This window comes from Homo sapiens, chromosome 3, assembly GCF_000001405.40.
Source record: "Homo sapiens chromosome 3, GRCh38.p14 Primary Assembly".
Lineage (NCBI taxonomy): Eukaryota > Metazoa > Chordata > Mammalia > Primates > Hominidae > Homo > Homo sapiens.
The window spans coordinates 186,951,946-186,972,575 of record NC_000003.12 but is presented as its reverse complement, the minus strand read 5'-3'; the positions used below and the strand labels follow the sequence as shown (position 1 = coordinate 186,972,575).

The following is a 20,630-nucleotide window of genomic DNA, read 5'->3' as shown; positions in this document are numbered from 1 at the left end:
GTAATGTACACATAGTAACAAGCAGTGGCCGGGCATGGTGGCTCACGCCTGTAATCCCAACACTTTGGGAGGCCGGGGCGGGCAGATCACAGGAGGTCAGGAGTTTGAGACCAGCCTGGTCAACATGGCAAAACCCTGTCTCTACTAAAAACACAAAAAATTAGCTGGGTGTGGTGGCCCGTGCCTGTAGTCCCAGCTACTTGGGAGGCTGAGACATGAGAATCACTTGAACCCGGGAGGTGGAGGTTGCAGTGAGATGACATCCCTCCCAGGCGCACTCCAGCCTGGGTGTCAGAGTGAGACCCTGTCTCAAAAAAAAAAAAAGAAAGTAAGAAAGTAGCAGGTAGCATAGCATAATGACTAAGAGGACAGACCTGGGTGTCCTACTCCCCAGGTTCAAATTCCAACTTACTAGCTATGAGACCTCTCTATGCCTGTTTCCTCATTTATAAAATGGAGTTATAAATTGTACCCAATTCTTAGGGTTGTCATGGGGATTAAGTGAATTAATATACATAAAACACTTAGAGCCTGGTCCATAAGAAGTGCAATATCATCATTCACTGTCATTGTTCGTTTCTTTCCCCAGTGCATTGAAGTTGCCTCTCCATCTGTAAGAGGAAAGAGTAGAAGATGCTGAGCTAGGGAAGGCTTGAGGCCATGGCAGCTGCCCTTGGCACTGTATGATCTCTAAACACTGAGAAAACAGTCCTCCTGGGCCAACTCTAGAGGTTTCTTCAACTAGGCTGCCAGTAAGTAGAGATGTTGGCACGCTGGCACCAGGGAGGAACAGGGTGGAAAGCACAGTGAAAAATCAGCACTTACAGGATGTTTGCTCATCTGTGAACAAAAACAATCCTCCCTGGAAAAATACACAGCTCTATAAAATATCACTTTTCATGGGCTACCCAGGACAATGACTAAAGATTTCCTATAACTGGTGAACTGGGCTGAAGAACAAGGAAGTCAGATTCCTGGGGCAGCTCTGAAAATGATGGGAGGGGGTTTGTCAGCACCAAATCTTCTTGCTTCCAACACTTAAGGAGTACAGGCTGTGGTCTAGATTCAGACAGCCAGACTGGGGGAGCAGAAAGAGAGGCACACAACCAGCTGTTAGGGAAACACAAATTAAGACCACAATAAGATATCACTACACATCTATTAAAACAGCTAACGTTGGGGGGGCACAGTGGCTCACGCCTATAATCCCAGCACTTCAGGAGGCCGAGGCACGTGGATCACCTGAGATCAGGAGTTCGAGACCAGACTGGCCACTGGCCAACATGGCAAAACCCCGTCTCTACTAAAGATACAAAAAAATTAGCCAGGCATGGTGGCGCACACCTGTAATCCCAGCTACTCAGGAGGCTGAGGCAGAAGAATCGCTTGAACCCGGGAGGTGGAGGTTGCAGTGAGCCAAGATAGCACCACTGCACTCCAGGCTGGGTGACAAGAGTGAAACTCCGTGTCCAAAAACAAGGGAACAGCTAAAGTTGAGAAAAAGTGACAACACCAAATGCTGGCAAGCATGTGGAGGAAGTGGATTATGTTGCTGGTGGGCATGTAAAGTGATACAGCCCCTCTAGGAAATGGTTTGGCCGTTTCTTCAAAAACAAAATAATATGCTCACCATGCAACTTAGCAATTGAACTCCTCGGCATTTATATCAGAGAAGCAAAAATTTATGTCCACACAAAAATCAGAACACAATTGTTCATAGCAGCTTAACTTGTAATAGCCAAAAACTGAAATTAAGCAAAATGCCCTTCCATAGGCAAACAATTAAACTGTGATACATGCATACCATGGAATACTATTCGGTAATTTAACAAAAAGAGCAAACTATTGATAAATTCAACAATTTTAGTAGACCTGAAGGGCATTATGATGAGTGCAAAAAAGCCAACCTCAAAAGGTTGTATATTGTATGATCCTATTTAGAGAATATTCTCCAAAGGCAAAATTATAGAAGTGAAAAACAGAGGTGGGGGCAGGGTGACAAAAAAGGGTCAGCACAAGGAAGACCTTTTTGATGATAAAATAGTTCTGTATCCACCGGGCGCAGTGGCTCACATCTATAATCCCAGCACTTTGGGAGGCTGAGGCAGGCGGAGCATGAGATCAGGAGACAGAGACCATCCTGGCTAACACAGTGAAACCTTGTCTCCACTAAAAATACAAAAAAAAAAAAAAATTTGCCGGGCGTGGTGGCAGGCACCTGTAAACCCAGCTACTTGGGAGGCTGAGGCAGGAGAACTGCTTGAACCTGGGAGGCGGTGGTTGCAGTGAGCTGAGATCGCGCCACTGCACTCCAGCCTGGGTGACAGAGTGCAACTCTGTCTTAAAAAAAAAAAAAAAAAGAAAAAGAAAAGAAAAAGAAATAGTTCTCTATCTTGATTCTAGGGATGCCTATACTAACCTACACACAAGAGAAAATGACACAAACTATACACATGTTGTACCAATCTCAGATGGCTGGTTTTGATATTGTACTATAATTATGTAAGAAGAAACAAGAAACTAAAGGAAGGATGCATCAGGAGTCTCTGTACTATCTTTTCAACTTCCTGTGCATCTACAATCGTTTCCAAATAAAAAGTTAAATAAAAAGAAAAGGCACCCAGCCAGTAAGAAAACTGGGATTCCAGTTCAGACTCTTCGCTCCAAAATCCTGGTGTTCCAACCAGGTCAAATTATTCATAGTACTGTGTGTACCACGACGTTTCCTGTTTCCATGCCTTGGCACATACGAACTTCTACTGAGGCTACCCTTCCCTCGCCTAGATAACTTTTCATTTCCTTTAAGATCCAATTCATATAGCTTCTCCTTAAGGAAGCTTCCTTGACTCCCCATCCTGAGATCACCGCTCTTCCTCTGCACTTCCTGTGCACAGCACTTATTCAACTGAATTGCAATAATTAGCTTACTTGCTTCCATCTCCTGTCATGTACAAGCCACAGAATTGGAGAACAATTTTGCAAAGCATATCCAATAAAGGACTTATCTGTAGAATATATAAGGAAACCTTACAACTCAATCATAAGAAGACAAACAACCCAATTTTCTTTAAATGGGTAAAAAAATCTAAACATTTCACCAGAGGAGCCATCCAGGTGGCAAACAAAGCACATAAAAATGAAGCTCAATATCATTAGTGTTTACGGGAATGCACAAAAAAACACAATGAGATATCACCATACACCTATTAAAATGAAAAAGATGGGCTGCGCGCTGTGGCTCACGCCTGTAATCCCAGCACTTTGTGGGGCTGAGGCGGGCAGATCACTTGAGGTCAGGAGTTCAACACCAGCCTGGCTAACATGGTGAAACCCCGTCTCTACTAAAAATACAAAAATAGGCCAGGCATGGTGGCCAGGTGCCTGTAATCCCAGCTACTCAGGAGGCTGAGGCAGGAGAATCGCTTGAACCCCGGAGGCAGAGGTTGCAGTGAGCTGAGATTGCGCCACTGCATTCCAGCCTGGCCCACAGAGTGAGAATCTGTCTCAAAAAAAAAAAAAAAAAAGAAAAAGAGAAGAAAGAAAAAAAGAAAAAGAAAAAGATAGATCATACCAAGTGTTGGCAAGGAAGTGAAGTGCCTGGAATTCTAGTACACAGCTGGTGGTGATATAAAATGGTACCCGTGCTCTAGGCAACAGTTTGGCAGCTTCTTTAAAAGTTAAACAAACGCCCACCACATGACCCAGCCACTCTACTCTTAGGAGATTACTCATGAGAAATAAATACTTATGTCCCCACAACATTTTTTTCCACAAATGATTCTAATGGCTTTATTTTAATAGTCCAAAATTTGAAACAACCTAAATGTGTGTCAACAAGTAAATGGATAAATAAATTGTGGTATATCCACAACTAGGACTACTGATACACACAACATTGATGAACAGCAAAATAATTACGCTGAATGAAAAAAAAATGCATGCTGTATAATTCCATTTACATAAAGCTCCAGAAAATGCAAACGAACCTATAGTGTGAGAAAGCAGCTTAGTCCAGTGGTTGCCTGAGGATGGAGGGCAGGAGATGGAAGGGGGCAGGAAGGAGGGATAAAGCTCGGAAGGACACTTTTAGGGGTAATCGTTATGTTCATTAGCTTAATTGTGGGGATAGTTTCATGACCGTATACATATGTCAAAACTCACCAAGTTGTACAATTTAAGTATGTGCAGGGTTTTGTCTGTCAATTACACCTCAATAAGGGTATATAAAACAAGATTAATGGGTACCATCTAATAGGCATCTACTTTGTGGGGAAAAAACTTTATATAAATAATTATTCATCTTCACTCAAGGTAGGTATTATTCGGCCCATTTTACAGATGATGAAACTGGATCAGAAAGCCGGGAGGTCATGCAGCTATGGTCAGGTCAGGCTCAGACCCAAGTCAAATGGCTTCAAAGCTGGGCCACTTTTCTCCGTACTGTGATGCCTTTCTACAGTGGCAAATTCCCAACCTGAAGCCACAGGCCATAACTCCCCGGCCTAAGCAAGACCTCAAAGAAGGCTCCAAATGAGAATGAGGGGCTGGGGCTGCAGGAGATCTCTGGCATCACTAAAATGACACCCTCTCTCTCTTGGATTGCCACTGCCACAAATACCTCCAACAGCCAAAGCCAGCCCATCCCGGGCCAGATGGGCTAAGGCAGGAAGTGGGCTGTGCCGGCTCCCCAGGACACCCTGGCCTCTACTGCCACGGTGGTTTTGTGTCAAGGACCTGACCAGACAGTCAGCAGAACAGACTCCAATTCCTCTCATGCTGCAAATAACATCCTTCCCCTTTCTGGGCCTCCATTTCCTTAAGTGAAAGACGTGATGGCTAACGATCAAGCCTTCCAAGGAGCTCTTTCGGCTGTAATTCATGTTCTGAGTGCCCTGCTGAGCCAAAGCTGAAGGCAGGGCACCACCTCCACGTAGCAGTGCCTCCCCAAATCACTCCCTCTGCCACTCTGCCTCCTCCCCTCAGCCCTGTCCCTCAGTAGGTATCTTCCAAAGACCCTGACTCCCTCCCCCATCTGCTGGTTTGTTCCCCAGTTAGCAAGTTAGGTACTTAAAACTCTGTGTTCGGGCCAGGCGCAGTCGCTCACACTTGTAATCCCGGCACTTTGGGAGACTGAGTCATGTGGATCACCTGAGGTCAGGAGCTCGAGACCAGCCTGGCCAACATGGCAAAACCCCGTCTCTACTAAAAATACAAAAATTAGCTGGGTGTGGTGGCAGGCGCCTGTAATCTCAGCTACTTGGGAGGCTGAAGTAGGAGACTCGCTTGAACCCAGGAGGCGGAGGTTGCAGTGAGCTGAGATTGCGCCACCGCACTCCAGCCTGGGCAACAGAGCAAGACACCGTCTAAAAAACAAACGAACAAACAAAAAAACACCTCTTCAGGAGTCTGGAAACCCTGGACACACAGCTACTTGAGACATAATTTCTCCTTTAGAGTTCTTGAAGGAAAGGCTGGACATGAGTGGTGACAGAACGGACGGAAAAAGAAGGTACTAAACAGCCTTGAAGTATGGAAGCTCCTCCTCTTGTCCCTGTCAGATCTGTATGTCCAAGTGTGGGCCAGAGTTTCTTGCCCAAACAAGCTGAGATATTTGGCAGGGCACATAGTAGGCTTTCAGTAAGTATCTGTGGAACTGAATTAAATCCCCCTAGCCAGAGGAATAATCTCTTCCCGAGTTGCAGAGGAAACGCAAGCATATCTGTCTTTGTGCGCTCCCCGGGAAACAGTTCTGAGAGTCCAGGGACTGACACGCCTGTTGCTTCTAACTGGCGGGGAGATCTGGGGGCCCAGCACCACTGGGCCTCACCTCCTGGGGCATCAGCTGAATGAGAGGACTACACTATAGCACTCTATAAATGCTCCCAGCTCTGGTGCTATCTTACACTACAAGGAAGAGACCTTGGGGTTTGAAAGGAACAGTGTAGCATTTTGCAAAGCTCCAAGCACTTTGAGCTGCAGCTGTTCACAGAGCTTCCGAGATGGAATGATATTCCCCGACGGGAGAGACTCTGTGTGTGGGAACTGCATTTTGGAACTACCACGTGGGCAAGTGCTTGCCATAAAGAGCACTCACTAGCTTTGAGAAGCTGTGGAGGTCACAGACAGCCTTAGTGTATCTCTTTTGCTTATGAGCTGTGAAATCTTGCAGAAGTCTCTTTACCTCTGTGAGACCCAATTTCCACATCCGTGACATGGGATAGATACCTTGTTAGCTCATTGCAGAATTAAATAAGATAATGTAGACAGATTACAAAACACTGTGCCGGGAACCATCATGAGCTCAATCAACAGCCTCTTCCCTTCCTTCCCTTTGTCATAAATAGATCTAAAGATTCTCAGAATAAGATCTCAGTTAGGTCGGGCACGATGGCTCACACCTGTAATCCCAGCACGTTGGGAGGCCTAGGCAGGCGGATTACCTGAGGTCAGGAGTTCAAGACCAGCCTGACCAACATGGTAAAACCCCGTCTCTACTAAAAATACAAAATAATTAGCCAGCGTGGTGGCCCATGCCTAGAATCCCAGCTACTCGGGAGGCTGAGGCAGGAGAATCACTTAAACCTGGGAGGCGGAGGTTGCAGTGAGCTGAGATCGCACCACTGTACTGCAGCCTGCGCAACAGAGCGACACTCTGTCCCGAAAAAATAAAAAATAAGATCTTAGTTGATTTTGCTGACCAGAAAACCAGGCCTCTGATGGCCTTAAGTCCAAACACACTAGAGAGGCACCTCAGGAAGTACACTGGGACTTCAGATACAGGGGAAGGACGAGGAAGAGAAGAGGCAGGGCTGGCACCTGGAGACCACCCACCACGTTCCCTGCCAGTTATATGTAAGCTCTGTGAGGAGGCGGCCTCCTGAGCAGTGCTCCATCCTCCACCCCTCCACCTGAGCTCCCTTCCTCCCAGGAGTACGTACTTTCGCCTCAGTCACTGGTAATCACCAGCTCAGTGGCCTGAGGTTCTTAAAATGAGGGTGTGGGACCAGATGGACTCTGTAGACCTTACCACCTTTATAATTTTCTGAACCTACAATTCTACAAGGATAAACTGGTGCTTAACGGATGTCCCACCCGCTCCCTATCCCTCCTTTGGGACACAGGAAGAGATTCAGGAAGCAGAGGGAGGGGGACAGAGGCTGGGACTTCATTATGCTAATTTATTAGCTCTAATCTGCTGCAACAGCAGGGCTTTGAAGAAAGAGGCTTTTGTTGCAATTTCACATTTGGCAGGAAGTCCCCCACACCCGCATTAGAGATTATGAGTCAAAAACTCTGATTTCAGTTCTGGCTCTTATGTCCTGCATTGCTGAGGCTCCCTTTTCACACTTCTCTGACCAACTTCGTGACTTTTCCGGGAAGGAAATGTGCCCCAGATGTTGGCCAGTAAATGGTGGGTTTTCATCTGCCTTTATAAAAGGGTGTCAGTAATCCGAAGGCTCCCCAAGGAGCAAGAGCCAAAGGGGGAAATGCAGCCAACTTCTACCACTAAACCAAAGGTTGCCCAGTCAACTAAGCCCCTCTCTACAGGGGCAGGGAGGCTCACTGTACGCAAAACATTTCTGTTTTCATTATTTTATGGGACCCTCACGATTGTTGTATGAAATAATGACGGAAATCTCACTTTCATTTATTCACGCAACTCATGTTACTGGGCACCTACCGTTCACAGGTGAGGAAATGAAGGAATGCATAGGGGAGGTGATTTGCCGGATGCCCCACAGCCTGGGGTAGGGTAAGCCCTGAAACCAGCAGCTTGCTTATCTAATCGGAATTTCCAAAACAAAAAAGCCCTGGGTTGTAGCACTTGCCCATTTCCATGGCATAAGTTTCCCCATCGTGGTCAGTTTCAAGCCACCCATTGTTTTTAATCGTTTTTAACAAGCAGTTTGCAAAATTCTTGAATATATAAAAATTGGGAAACAGAGTTTCCAGATTAGGGACAAGTTCTCCTTCTGCCTCACCTTTCTACCTCCACACAGGAAAAATCAACATCCTGTGGAAGCTTAAAGAGTAACCTTAATAGAATACCACCTGGAGGATTGTTAACAGGGGCAGGGTTTCAGATATATTGTATTTTCTTCCACAACAGAATTTTTCCAATCATTCTATGAGCACCTATTACCTTTATAATCAGAACATATCTAGGTAATTAAAATCAATTTTTAGTGAGCTTCCCAGAATGTTTTGGAATAACCTCTCTGCATAATGTTTCACTCTGTCACCCTTGGGTTGAAAGAGAGAGAGCGTGGCACGCGCGTGTGTGTGTGCGTGTGTGTGTGTTTCCCAAGAGCTCCCTTGCAGAGCAGAGGAGGTATACTTAAGCATTCACCTGAATCCGGTGCAGTCTTACCTGGAGGATAAATGTATTCCCTTGGGAATTCAAATTTCACCAGCAACTGAGAAAATACAACTCCCATCAAGATTCCAAAGACCTGCTCTGACAAAGCAGAAGCCTCTTTGGCCACCAATTGACCTTGCCTCCCAACGGGCTGAGGCTGAAGCAGATGGTTTGACTGAACCAGAAACAACTAACTGCTCCTTCTTTCCTGAGAAGGCCCTCTGCCTCCTGCCCCTGCAAAAAAGGCATTGTGTCCTCTCTTCCTCAGGCTGGGCTTCAGGGGGTCTTACCTCAGCACGGGGATGGACACCTGGCACCAGGGCTTGGGACAGGCTCAAGGGGGCCAGTCCATTTCAGCTGGGCTCCATGACATTCACCACTTCTCCCTGGACTGCTGGTTGCAGGGCTCTGCGCAACTGGCTCTCCCCTTGCCTGCAGAGGGTTAAAAAACAACAACAAAGCAAAGTTTCACCAGAAGCACATACGTTAATACATTCAGGAGGAAAGAGTCTTTGCTCCTCCCACTGCCAGCTCCGGGGCAGCCAGCCTCCTTTCCAGGACCTAAACGAGCTACATGTTCACCCAGACTCATCCCTCTGGGGTTGTACAATTTGAGAGTAAGTTGCAGATTGGGCAAAGCAAACTCTGCTACAGTCGTGGAATCCTTGTGCTACTCACTACTTGTGGTAAGAAAAAGCAAGGGTTAGAAAGCTACAGATCGGGCCCAAGTCTCGTGTTTAGAGAAGGCCTGCGGACAATGGATTTCAATCAACAACTACATCAAGCTTGTTCACAGTCTCCTTTGACCTATAGTATGTTGTTTATGCTGTTACAAATGTGAATTCATGCCTGTAACCCCAGCTACTTGGGAGGCTGAGGCAGGAGCATCGCTTGAACCCGGGAGGCGGAGGTTGCAGTGAGCCAAGATCGTGCCACTGCACTCCAGCCTGGACAACAAGAGCGAAACTCCGTCTCAAAAAAAAAGTTTTTTTTAAAGTGAATTTAATTTCTAATTCATTTTGGAAGCATTTTTAACTGATCCTAAATTTTCAACCCATATATTATTATAGTTGCCTGAATAGAGGGCATTTGTTTTTAAAGTAATTGTGTTTCCTTGTGTCAGAAAAAGTATGTTCAATCTATAAATTTTAGAAAATATAATTAAATGAAAAAGACAAAATGTACCCATTCTTTCTTCATCCAAGATAACTACAGATAACATACTCTACCTGTTTCTTGTTTTTATTTTTCAGATTTTTTATAAAGATGTAATAAAGCTAGGCATGGTTTAGTAAGTGCCGTGTCAGTAAGTAATCTCCAGCAGCATCATTTTAATGGCTGCATAATATATACGTACCCAAGGATCTCCAATGAGCCATGTATAGTGCCCCACAGAGCTGTACCATAAATTGTACCCAACCCTCCAAGCCTGGACACTTAAGTCATCTTCAGCCTTTTGTTTTGTTTTTGGCTAATGGCAAATAGTGTTTGAAACAAAATCTTCCAGGGAGTCCCATGATTATTTTCTTTGGACACAGTCTTAGGAATAAAACTGTGCTGGGTCAAAGAGCTTCCAAATTCTTCAGGCTTCTGAACAGTCTTAGCATGCTACCTTCAGGACTACTGGTACCATAGAAACTGCTCCCAGCAATGGAGAAATGTGCCCATTCCCCTAACACTCCTCTCTCCCCCAAGCCCCTCCCTCACCCACATATCCTCGTTCACCTGGTGTAACCATTTCTAGTGGAAATGAAGGTGCAGTTCTCCAAGTCTGACTTTTCATTTTTCATGCTCACACTCAGCTCAGCCCCAGCCTAAGATAAGACCCATTATGCTAAATGAACTCTGCTAATCAAGCTTGGGAAAGAGGGGTACATGAATGACAATTCGTAAGGAGAGAAAGAGAAACCCGTGGAGGGACAGGGGAGTGATAGATACACAAGGACGGTGTCCAGGGGAAAGAAACCCTTAGATACAAAGAGAAACAAGAGTCATCCCATGAGACGGGAGATGCTGATAGACAGAACTGAAGCTGAAGTGAGCCATGCGATGGGTGGTAACGTCAAGACCTCACAAAGATTCAGGACAGAACAGGGCGAACAACAAAGGCATCTGGTGAGACGGAAAAAGAACAAGTTGCTTGAGGCTTCGGGCACTTTGCTGCTGTTTGTAATTAATGCCAACAAAACACCAGGAGCCAGGGTCACTGTGGGGAAATGAGAGCAGTCAGGGAAGAGGTCTTTACAGGCAAACAGCTGAGCTAGTGGTCAGCTAGGAGCCACCCACAAGGAGCCCTCCTGGGGGAACAAGAGCAAAGTGCTCCTGGGGTGGAGGTAGAGTGGGCACTGCTGGGCTGACTGCTCTGCCTCCTTAACAGGAAGGAAGACTCCACTCTCCATCTCTCCCTAGCCAGCTCTTGTATCCTTCCTTTCACTCCAGGCCAAACTTTCAGTGAGAGATGGAGAATTCACCTACACAGATAACTAGGTTTCTCAGCCCTGTGACCCAGGCAAAAGCCTTGGGGACCTGTCTCATGCCCCTTTCCAGCTGACCAGCCTCATGCCCTGTCACTCTCATGCACCCTACACTCCAGCCATAGCAATCTGCAGCTTCATGAGGGAATGGGGGATTCCTTTTGTGCTTCTTAAGTCCTTTGGAAAATGGTTTGCAGATCTCCAATATTTAGGCAAGTCATTCTACCTGCCCACCCTGCCCCTACCCCACTTGCTCATTCATCTGGACTTCCCCTGATGGACAAAGGGTAGAACTCTGACTTAAAGACAATTCGTCCATACATAAGGAAGCTGGGCCAATCTGACACTCTTTCAAAACTGCAACTGTGAAAAAAGACTCTAGTCAGCTGGTGGTAGACCCTAGAGTGAAGGGAAAGGTAGTGGTGGAACCATGACAAGCAAATGCCATGCACAAGATCAAGTGATGGGGCCGGGCGCAGTGGCTCATGCCAGTAATCCCAGCACTTTGGGAGGCCAAGGCGGGAGGATCATCTGAGGTCAGGAGTTCAAGACCAGCTTGGTCAACATGGTGAAACCCTGTCTCTACTAAAAACACAAAAATTAGCCAGGCATGGTGGCGTGCACCTGTAATCCCAGTTTCTAGGAAGCCAAGGCAGGAGAGCTGCTTGAACCCAGGAGGTGGAATTTGCAAATTTGCAGTGAGCCGAGATCAATCACTGCACTCCAGCCTGAGTGACAGAGTGAGACTCTATCTAAAAAAAAAAAAAAAAAAAGATCAAATGATGGAGCTACAGGGACTCTATGGAAGGAGAGGAAGCTGGCCTACAAAGAGAGCAGGGCAGAGGCCCTGGGAGAGGTAGACAGGACACCATGCAGGCCCAGGACAGCAGGTATGTAGTGAGTCTAGTGGCCGCGGGCCACTAGGGTTGGCAGGTACCATCTCAAAATAAAAAAGATTTAAAAAATTTAAAAAAAAAACAGAAAACAAAACGAAACAAAAATCTACTGACAGGACCACGCTAGATTGCTAAAGTGTAGTTGGATGACTCTTCTATCTTAAATTCTAAAGTTTTTTTTTTCTATTAAGTAGATTATATAACTTCCTCCTATCACCATACTCAGCACTGCAGATTCAGCTGATCATAGGGTCCCCAAGCCTCCTATCTACTCACGTGCTTCCTGGCCATTTTAATATAGTTTCCACTTAATTCATAACGCTCTGTAATCTGTCACCACAAGTTCTGCTCTCTGACCTCCCTCCTATCCCACAAGGGTCACTGGGCCTAACACCCAGATTTGGTCTCTCTACTTTCCTCTCGAGGCCCAGCCAGCCAAGATTGTGCTCAACTCCTTCCTTCTCCTCAGGGCCTGTTCTCTGTTTTATCTCTTGGGGCAGCCCTTACTGCACTGTCCCCCAACTCTAGAGCCCCTGGCAGCAGCTCAGCCAATCCCCTTTCTCCTCTGCCCTTAGACCCAGAAGCATCTAGATGACACAGAAGATGATTCTAAGGAAGAGGGTGGCTAAATGAGAGGCTGCCTTGGGCGCAGTGACTCCTTCTTGCCTCCAGCAAGTGTTTCCTTCAAGTAAGTGTACCATGTGTGAGGCACCAACCACAGACCCAGAACCAGGATTTGGAGAGCTCACCAGGAACCAAGGAACCCAAAGAAGTTCATAAATTGAGCCAAGAATTTCATGGCCCAGCCCCTCAAAGCAGAACCATTGCTCGAGTGCTCTGTGTTGACTCAGAGGAGGGGTTCACCTGTCACAGCAGTAAGGCTGTGGCCCCAAGCCCCTGGCTTCAAGGAGCCATCCCCACTCAGCACCCAGGAGCCTCAGCGTGAGATAACCCTTTTAACCCTGGAGCCATTCTTCCACATTGTCTGAGATGTGAGCAATGGTTTTGATTATGTTTGAATATGGAAGTGAAATAAGCTAAGAGCTTTTATTGATCCTTGTGCATAAAACATTCCAGGATCTGGGTCTCCACAAATCTGCTGAACACAGCAGTCAAATCAGAAGACACTGCACCCAAAACACAGTAAGAACGTCTGCTAAGATAAGGAGACTTTCCGGATTATTTCTGTCCCCCTCTTCCTCTCCCAGGGCTCACATCCCTTCTTGATGGTTCATATGGGGAGCCCAGATCCAACATTACGGGGCTCCTGTCCTAGACCTAATAATATTCACCATAAATGTTCCTTTATTTTTAATTTCAATTTTTTTTTGTTAGCAACTACTGTGTGCCAGGTGCTTTATGTACTAAGTTATTCATTTATTCTTCACACAAGCCTATGAAGCGAGGAGTGTCTTCTCCATTTTCAGATGAGGTGACAAGAGCTTTGGTGACAGCACGGGCACAAAGCAGGTAAGTGACTAAGCCAGAGTTCCACACACAAAGCTGCCTCCCAGAGCTGCCTCCCAGGGGCTTTTCTTTATCTTCCCTTTAGTGCTAGGCCAAGAGATTCCAGCAAAGAGCTGAAACTAAGTATGAGTTGCACACTGAGTACATGGGTGAGCTCTGACAAAAAGAGAAAAGGTGTCTGCATTTAGAGAACCAGAAAAGGGAAGCTCTTCTGCCATTGCCATATGCAAAATTTCCAAAGGAGGGTACCTCTGCACATTTATTTGATTGTGTTGTTAATATGTTCTCTACAGCAAACAATCATTCAGCTTTGATTGGGTGCCTATTTTAGGTGCCAATCTGGATACAGGGGGAGACACTGAGCCCTTTTTAACTTATTTTATTTTATTTATTTATTTATTTATTTATTTAATTTTTTTTTTTTTTTGAGATGGAGTCTCGCTCTGTCACCCTGACTGGAGTGCAGTGGCACAATCTCTGCTCACCGCAACCTCCGCCTCCCACGTTCAAGCGATTCTCCTGCCTCAGCCTCCCGAGTAGCTGGGATTACAGGTGCATGCCACCACACCTGGCTAATTTTTGATATTTTTGGTAGAGACAGGGTTTCACCATGTTGGCCAGGCTGGTCTCGAACTCCTGACCTCAAGTGATCCACCAGCCTTGGCCTCCCAAATTAGTGGGATTACAGGCATGAGCCACAGCACCCGGCACATTGAGCCCTTTTTTAAATCAAAGCAACACACACCAATGATTTTTAAGGTCCAGTGGTACTGCAAGGCTGTAAGGAGAAACAGCAGGCCCTGCCCCACCCCTCCATATCCCTAATTCTGTCTTTCAACTCCTGTATCTATTTCCAGAGTCATCTCAGTGTATCTAAATAGCACGCTTATATGGCTCTGGATTTTTTTCAATATTAGATATTATTCACTAACTTCCTATTATAGAAAATAAGGATTTAGCTCCTTACCACCATTCTATATACCACCTCTCCTGTCCCACATTCTCCCAATAGTTATACCATTTTTTATTAAGTCAACACTAATAGCTATATTATTAAGTTACATTATTTTGTCAAGTAATTATTAAGTTACATTATTATAACCAGATAAATTATTATTCATAGCTGAGCCATGTGTGGTGTTACAATTAATTCCTTTCATGTATATTTCTTAGTTGCCATTTGTAGAGTCCATTATTACCTCATTTGTTTGTCTGCTTAACTTTCTATGTACTTGTCACGAATTCAGCCCTCAACATTCCAACAAAACTATAAAACTCATCACAGTACACTAAATATACCATTATGTACTAATCTTTTTTTTTTTTTTAATTCTTAAAAATCTCCCTTCTGGAACCTTCCATTCTCCTCCTTCAACCTGAAGTGGTTGCTTTCTGTGCTTAAAGGAAGATCCCATTTATTCTTAGTTTACTGTCTAGTTTTGGAGAAACAAATGCATCATAGATTCCTCAAAAAAGGCTGTGTGGGAGATAAAATCATTGAGACTTCTCATACCTGAAAATGCCATTATTCCACCCTCATATTTGATTAATAATTTGTCAGGATATAATTTCTCAGTTGGAAATACTAGCCTCTCAGAATTTAAGGAATGGCTTCATTGTCTCCTAGCTTCTGTAGAGATAGATGATGTCAATCATATTTCTATTGTTATATATAATCCATTTGGTTGGGGGGAGGATTTTCTCCTGTCAAGAAGCTTTTCTTCTGGTGTATGTCTTTTTTTCAAGTCACAGCCCCAGGTACTCAAGTGGGCCTTTCAATGTCCTTTCAATGTTCTCAAAGTTTTTCTTGTATTATTTCTTTAATAAATTTTCCCTTTCATTGTCTCTATTCTCTTTTTCTGCGAGTCTTACTATTCTGATGTTGGGCTTCTTAGAATAATCCTTCTTATTTTTCTTTTCTTTTCTTTTAGGCGGGAGGGACAGGGTCCCACTCTGTTGCCCAGGCTGGAGTGCAGTGGTACAACCTCAGCTCACTGCAACCTCAACCTCCTTGGCTCAAGTGATCCTCCCATCTCAGCCTCCCAAGTTGCTGGAACTATAGGCGTGCACCACCATGTCTGGCTAATTTTTGTATTTTTGAGTAGAGGTGGGGTTTTGCCATGTGGCCAGGCTGGTCTCAAACTCTTGGGTTCAAATGATCCACTCACCTTGGCCTCCCAAAGTTCTGGGAATACAGGCATGAGCCACCGCGCCCAGCACATTTTCTTTCTTTCTTTGACTTTCTGCAAGGTTCTGTAAGTTTTCTTCAATTCTATATTCCAAACCCTCTACTGATTTATTCTTCTATCACACTTTTAATTTCCAAAAGTTCTTTCTTAGTCTCTGAAACTCCTCTTTGTTGCACATTGCTTTTATTTTATTAATGCAACATATTCTCTTATCTCTCTTAGACTAGTAATTACAGGTTTTGTGAAGTTTTCTTCTGCTCCCTATATTTTCTCTATTTCTTGTGAGTTTCTAGTGCTGTTGTTGTCTCTTTTAATTTCTGCCTTTCATGTTTCAAACTTTTCTCAAATATCTGGTGATCGTTAGCTGTCTTTTTAAATTGAAAAGTGAGACACTAAAAACTGACCGGATGTTCTGTGTGCATGATCAGTGCTTCTGAACTGGTGGATCTTACGGGAGGGTGATTGTGAGTCAGCTGTAAATTTTGTTTGGAACACCCTAAATATCAATATCTATAGGCTTTTTCTCTTGGGCTCTTAAGTTTATGCAGAAAGACTCCTCTAGCCTCATGACTAGGGAAAGCAGAATTTGACTCTAGTATCCAGCACTGTGTGACAGAAGCAGAAAAAGTGCTGGGAGCAGCGAGAGGCCTCGCTGGTGAGCATGTGGACTTTCCCTCATTCCCTCTGGTATAGAACTGCATTTCACACATGCCCCTCTTAGCCTGGCCTGCTGTGCCTGATCTTAATCGGGTCTTAAAACTGAGCATGTTCCTGGAAAGAGCCTTAAAGGAAATACTAATTTACCAGGAAGAAAAAAAAACAAACACAAACATTTTACAGGCATAGATTTATAAATAGCCTCACATCAGTCCAAATCAGGTTTTGCCACCAAATGGGTTAAGAATAAAGCTTGACTTTCACAAATTTTTGGACTTGAAAGTTGCAGATAAGGGCTTGTTTGTGTATGCATTTCCCACACCTCCAGTCACACTTGCGACATTTTTCACAGGGATTTTTCTCACTCTGTGGGACCGGCTGCTTGCAACAAGACATGAAAAAAATGAGGCAGTTGAGATGTGGGTGCAGGGGGAAGGCCAGGCTCCACAGAGAGACGATCTAACGACACAGTCACTTGGCAGGTTTGAGTCCTAGTTCTACACTAGCAAGCTGTGTTACTCTGAAAAAGTTGTTTAACCTCTCTGCGCCTCAAAAATCACAAGCATTCCTATACACCAGCAAAACACAAGCAGAGAGCGAAATCATGAATGAACTCCCATCCACAATTGCTACAAAGAGAATAAAATACCTTGGAATACCCCTAACAAGGGAAGTGAAGGACCTCTTCAAGGAGAACTACAAACCACTGCTCAAGGAAATAAGAGAGGACACAGGCCGGGCATGGTGGCTCACGCCTGTAATCCCAGCACTTTGGGAGGCTGAGGTGGGTGGATCACAAGGTCAAGAGATCAAGACCATCCTGGCCAACCTGGTGAAATCCCATCTCTACTAAAAATACAAAAATTAGCTGGGCATGGTGGCACGCACCTGTAGTCCCAACTACTCAGGAGGCTGAGGCAAGAGAATCGCTTGAACCCGGGAGGTGGAGGTTGCAATAAGCCAAGATCACACCACTGCACTCCAGCCTGGGTGACAAGAGTGACACTCCATCTCAAAAGAAAAGAAAAAAAAAAGAGAAGACACAAACAAATGGAAAAACATTCCGTGCTTGTGGATAGGAAGAATCAATATCATGAAAATGGCCATACCACCCAAAATAATTAATAGATTAAATGCTATTCCCATTAAACTACCATTGACATTCTTCACAGAATTAGAAAAAAAACTACTTTAAAATTCACATGGAACCAAAAAAGAGTCCATATAGCCAAGACAATCCTAAGCAAAAAGAACAAAGCTGGAGGCATCCAGCCACCTGAGTTCAAACTATACTACAACGCTACAGTAACCAAAACAGCATGGTACTAGTACAGAAACAGACACACAGACCAATGGGACAGCACAGAGATCTCAGAAATAAGACCACACATCTATAACCATCTGATCTTTGCCACACCTGACAAAAACTAGCAATGGGAAAAGGATTCCCTATTTAATAAATGGTGCTGGGAAAATTGGCTATCCATACACAGCAAATTGAAACTGGACCCATTCCTTATACCTTACCCAAAAATTAACTCAAGATGGATTAAAGACTTAAATGTAAAACCCAAAACTATAAAAACCCTAGAAGAAAATGTAGGCAATACCATTCAGGACATCAGCACAGGCAAAGATTTCAGGACAAAATCATCAAAAGCAATTACAACAAAAGCAGAAATTGACAAATGGGATCTGATTAAACTAAAGAGCTTCTGCACAACAAAAGAAACTATCATTAGAGTGAACAGACAGCCTACAGAACGGGAGAAAATTTTTGCAATCTAATCTATCCATTTGACAAAGCTCTAATATCCAGAATCTACAAGGAATTTAAACAAATTTGCAAGAAAAAAAAAACCCATTAAAAAGTGGGCAAAGGACATAAACAGACATTTCTCAAAATAAGACATTTATGTGGCCAACAAACATATGAAAAAATGCTCAACACCATGCATCATTAGAAAAATGCAAATCAAAACCACAAAAAGATACTATCTCATGCCAGTCAGAATGGCAATTAGTAAAGCCGTGAAACAACAGATGTTGGTGAGGCTATGAAGAAATAAGATCGCTTTTACACTGTTGGTGGGAATGTAAATTAGTTCAACCATTGTGGAAGACAGTGTGGTGAGTCCTCAAAGATCTAGAACCAGAAATACCATGTAACCCAGCAATCCCATTACTGAGTATATACTCAAAGGAATATAAATCCTTCTATTATAAAGATACATGCACGCATATGTTCATCGCAGCACTATTCACAATAGCAAAGATATGGAATCAACCCAAACGTCCATCAGTGATACACTGGATAAAGAAAATGTGGTACATATACACCACGGAATACTATGCAGCCATAAAAAGGAAAGAGATCATGTCCTTTGCAGGGACATGGATGGAGCTGGAAGCCATTATCCTCAGCAAACTAACACAGGAAGAGAAAATCAAACACCATATGTTCTCACTTATAAGTGGGAGCTAAACAATAAGAACACATGGACACAGGGAGGGGAACAACACACACTGGGGCCTGTCAGGGGGCCTGGGGGAGGGAGAGCATCAGGATAAATAGCTAATGCATGTGGGGCTTAATACCTAGGTGATGGGTTGATAGGGGCAGCAAACCACCATGGCACATGTTTACCTATGTAACAAACCTGCACATCCTACACATGTATCCTGGAACTTAAAATAAAATAAAATTAAAAAAAAAAAAAAAACCTCTCTGTGTCTCAGTTTCTTCATGTATAAATTTTGGGTTATTCCAACTAATTTTGAAATGTCATTGTGAGGATTTTGTTAAATTCAGCCAACAAATGTGGATTATGCCTATGATACCTGAGGCATTGCTCTGGGTCCTAAAGAAATAGCTGTGAGCAAAAGAGATAACATCCTTGCCCTCATGGAAGCAAGTTCCTAGTGAGAAAAGACACAGGGTAGTAACTCAGATGGCCACCTACGCTATTGAACAGCAACAAGGAAGGATAAAAGGGAGAGAGCCAAGTCGGTGGGAGGAGACAGGCAGGAGATTATAATCTTATATAAGGCTGTCAAATGGCCTGTTTGACAAGGTGACATCTAAATAGAAACCTGAAGAAGAGACGAAAACAATAGGATACATGAAGGAAGGTGTCCTGCCTGGAGGAAGCAGTGGAAAGGCTCTGAGACCAAAGTGTGCTTTATATCTGAGGAGTAGGCTCAGTGAGGTGAAGCAGAATGAAGCGGTGGAAAAGAGCAGGAGATGAAGTCTGCAGGGTCTGAAGGCTGGGTCACACAGAATCCTGTAGGCCTTTCTAAGCTCTGAGTAAAAGAGGAAGCCTTTCCTGGTTTTTGAGCGGAAGAATGACACATCACTACAGCTTTTAAAATGATCACTCTGGTTACTGTTTTGAGAACATACCACAGGAGCAAGACTACAAGCAGGAGGCTCAGTTGTGAAACGATTCTAAGAGAAAGAACAGGTCTTCTGTCCTGGACCAACATGAATTTGATGAATTAAGTAGTTGTTTCTTAATTTATTGTGAAAGCACAGCTGACATGGTTTGCTAACAGAGTGGGTGCAGCATGAGAGAAAGAGAATTTAGAATGACTCCAGAGTTTAAGCCCTAAAAGATGGAAAGATGAAATTGTTGTCCACTGAAATGAGGATGGCTCTTTTAGGGAGAAAAGCAGCAGTTCGATTTTGGGCTTGTCATATTTGAGATGTATATTAGATGTCTAAGGAAACTTGTCAAGTAGATGGTTGAATATCTGAGCATGGAACTCAGGGGAAAGGTGTGGGTTGGAAATATAAATTGAGGGTTGTCAGGAAATTGATGATATGAGATGGCCAGGGCATGAGGAGACAGAGAAGAGGCCAAGTCCAAGGGCCACTCCCAGAGGCACTCCACAGTGACCAAGTGAAAATGAGCCAACAGAGAAGCGCTTGAACCCGGGAGGCGGAGGTTGCAGTGAGCTGAGATCGCGCCACTGCACTCCAGCCTGGGTAAGAGAGTGAGACTCCATCTCAATAAAAATAAAAAAAGAAAAGAAAAGAAAAGAAAATGAGCCAAGAAAAGGAACTGAGAAGGAGAACCTAGTGAGAGAAGAGGAAAAGCAAAGACAGTGATGTTCCAGAAGCCAAGAGAAGAAACTATTTCAAGGAGGATGGAATGGTCAATTGTATCAAAAGTTGCTGATCAGTCAAGATAGGGACTGAGATCTGACCACTGGATTTGGCAAGAGAGGATACTGGTGAGCCTGACCGGTATGGTTTTGGTGGTGTGATGGGTACAAAAGACTGATCATGTTGAGTTTAAATGAGAATGAGAGAAGAGGGAGTGCAGGGTGCAAATGCAGACAACTCTCTCCAGGAGCATAAAAATTGGCACACCCCCTCCCTTTTCACCTCCTGCCGTGAGTAAAAGCTTCCTGAAGCCTCACCAGAAGATGATGTGGGTGCCATGCCTGTACAGCCTGCAGAATCATGAGCCAAATAAACCTCTTTTCTTTATAAATTACTCAGTCTCAGGTTTTCCTTTATAGCAAGGCAACATGGACTCATACAGTAGTACCCTTATAAAAGAGGCTCTGGAGAACTAGTGAG

At 44.3% G+C, this 20,630-nt stretch overlaps 1 protein-coding gene across 2 annotated transcripts in view, besides 4 other annotated features; it reads right to left on the bottom strand.

Moving 5' to 3' along the window:
* Positions 1–20,630, bottom strand: part of ST6GAL1 (ST6 beta-galactoside alpha-2,6-sialyltransferase 1) — a 148,028-nt gene that overhangs the window by 105,978 nt on the left and 21,420 nt on the right. For both annotated transcript variants that reach the window (NM_173216.2, NM_173217.2), the window contains exon 2: positions 8,650–8,791. The gene's annotated coding sequence lies outside the window, so the exon portion shown is untranslated. The remainder of the gene's footprint in view (positions 1–8,649; positions 8,792–20,630) is intronic.
* Positions 8,144–8,723: an enhancer, noted in NCBI's record as "H3K27ac-H3K4me1 hESC enhancer chr3:186681641-186682220 (GRCh37/hg19 assembly coordinates)". NCBI's record gives its function as "activates a minimal SCP1, AML or CMV promoter by ChIP-STARR-seq in primed H9 embryonic stem cells {active_cell/tissue: H9 hESC(primed)}" and the evidence as "EXISTENCE:reporter gene assay evidence [ECO:0000049][PMID:30033119]".
* Positions 13,453–13,502: an enhancer, noted in NCBI's record as "active region_20948". NCBI's record gives its function as "activates an Ori minimal core promoter by ATAC-STARR-seq in GM12878 lymphoblastoid cells {active_cell/tissue: GM12878}" and the evidence as "EXISTENCE:reporter gene assay evidence [ECO:0000049][PMID:35858748]".
* Positions 15,296–15,796: an enhancer, noted in NCBI's record as "H3K4me1 hESC enhancer chr3:186674568-186675068 (GRCh37/hg19 assembly coordinates)". NCBI's record gives its function as "activates a minimal SCP1, AML or CMV promoter by ChIP-STARR-seq in naive H9 embryonic stem cells {active_cell/tissue: H9 hESC(naive)}" and the evidence as "EXISTENCE:reporter gene assay evidence [ECO:0000049][PMID:30033119]".
* Positions 16,293–16,535: a silencer, noted in NCBI's record as "fragment chr3:186673829-186674071 (GRCh37/hg19 assembly coordinates)". NCBI's record gives its function as "represses an EF-1alpha promoter that drives an FKBP-Casp9 reporter gene in an ReSE screen in phorbol 12-myristate 13-acetate-treated (for megakaryocytic differentiation) K562 erythroleukemia cells {active_cell/tissue: K562(+PMA)}" and the evidence as "EXISTENCE:reporter gene assay evidence [ECO:0000049][PMID:32094911]".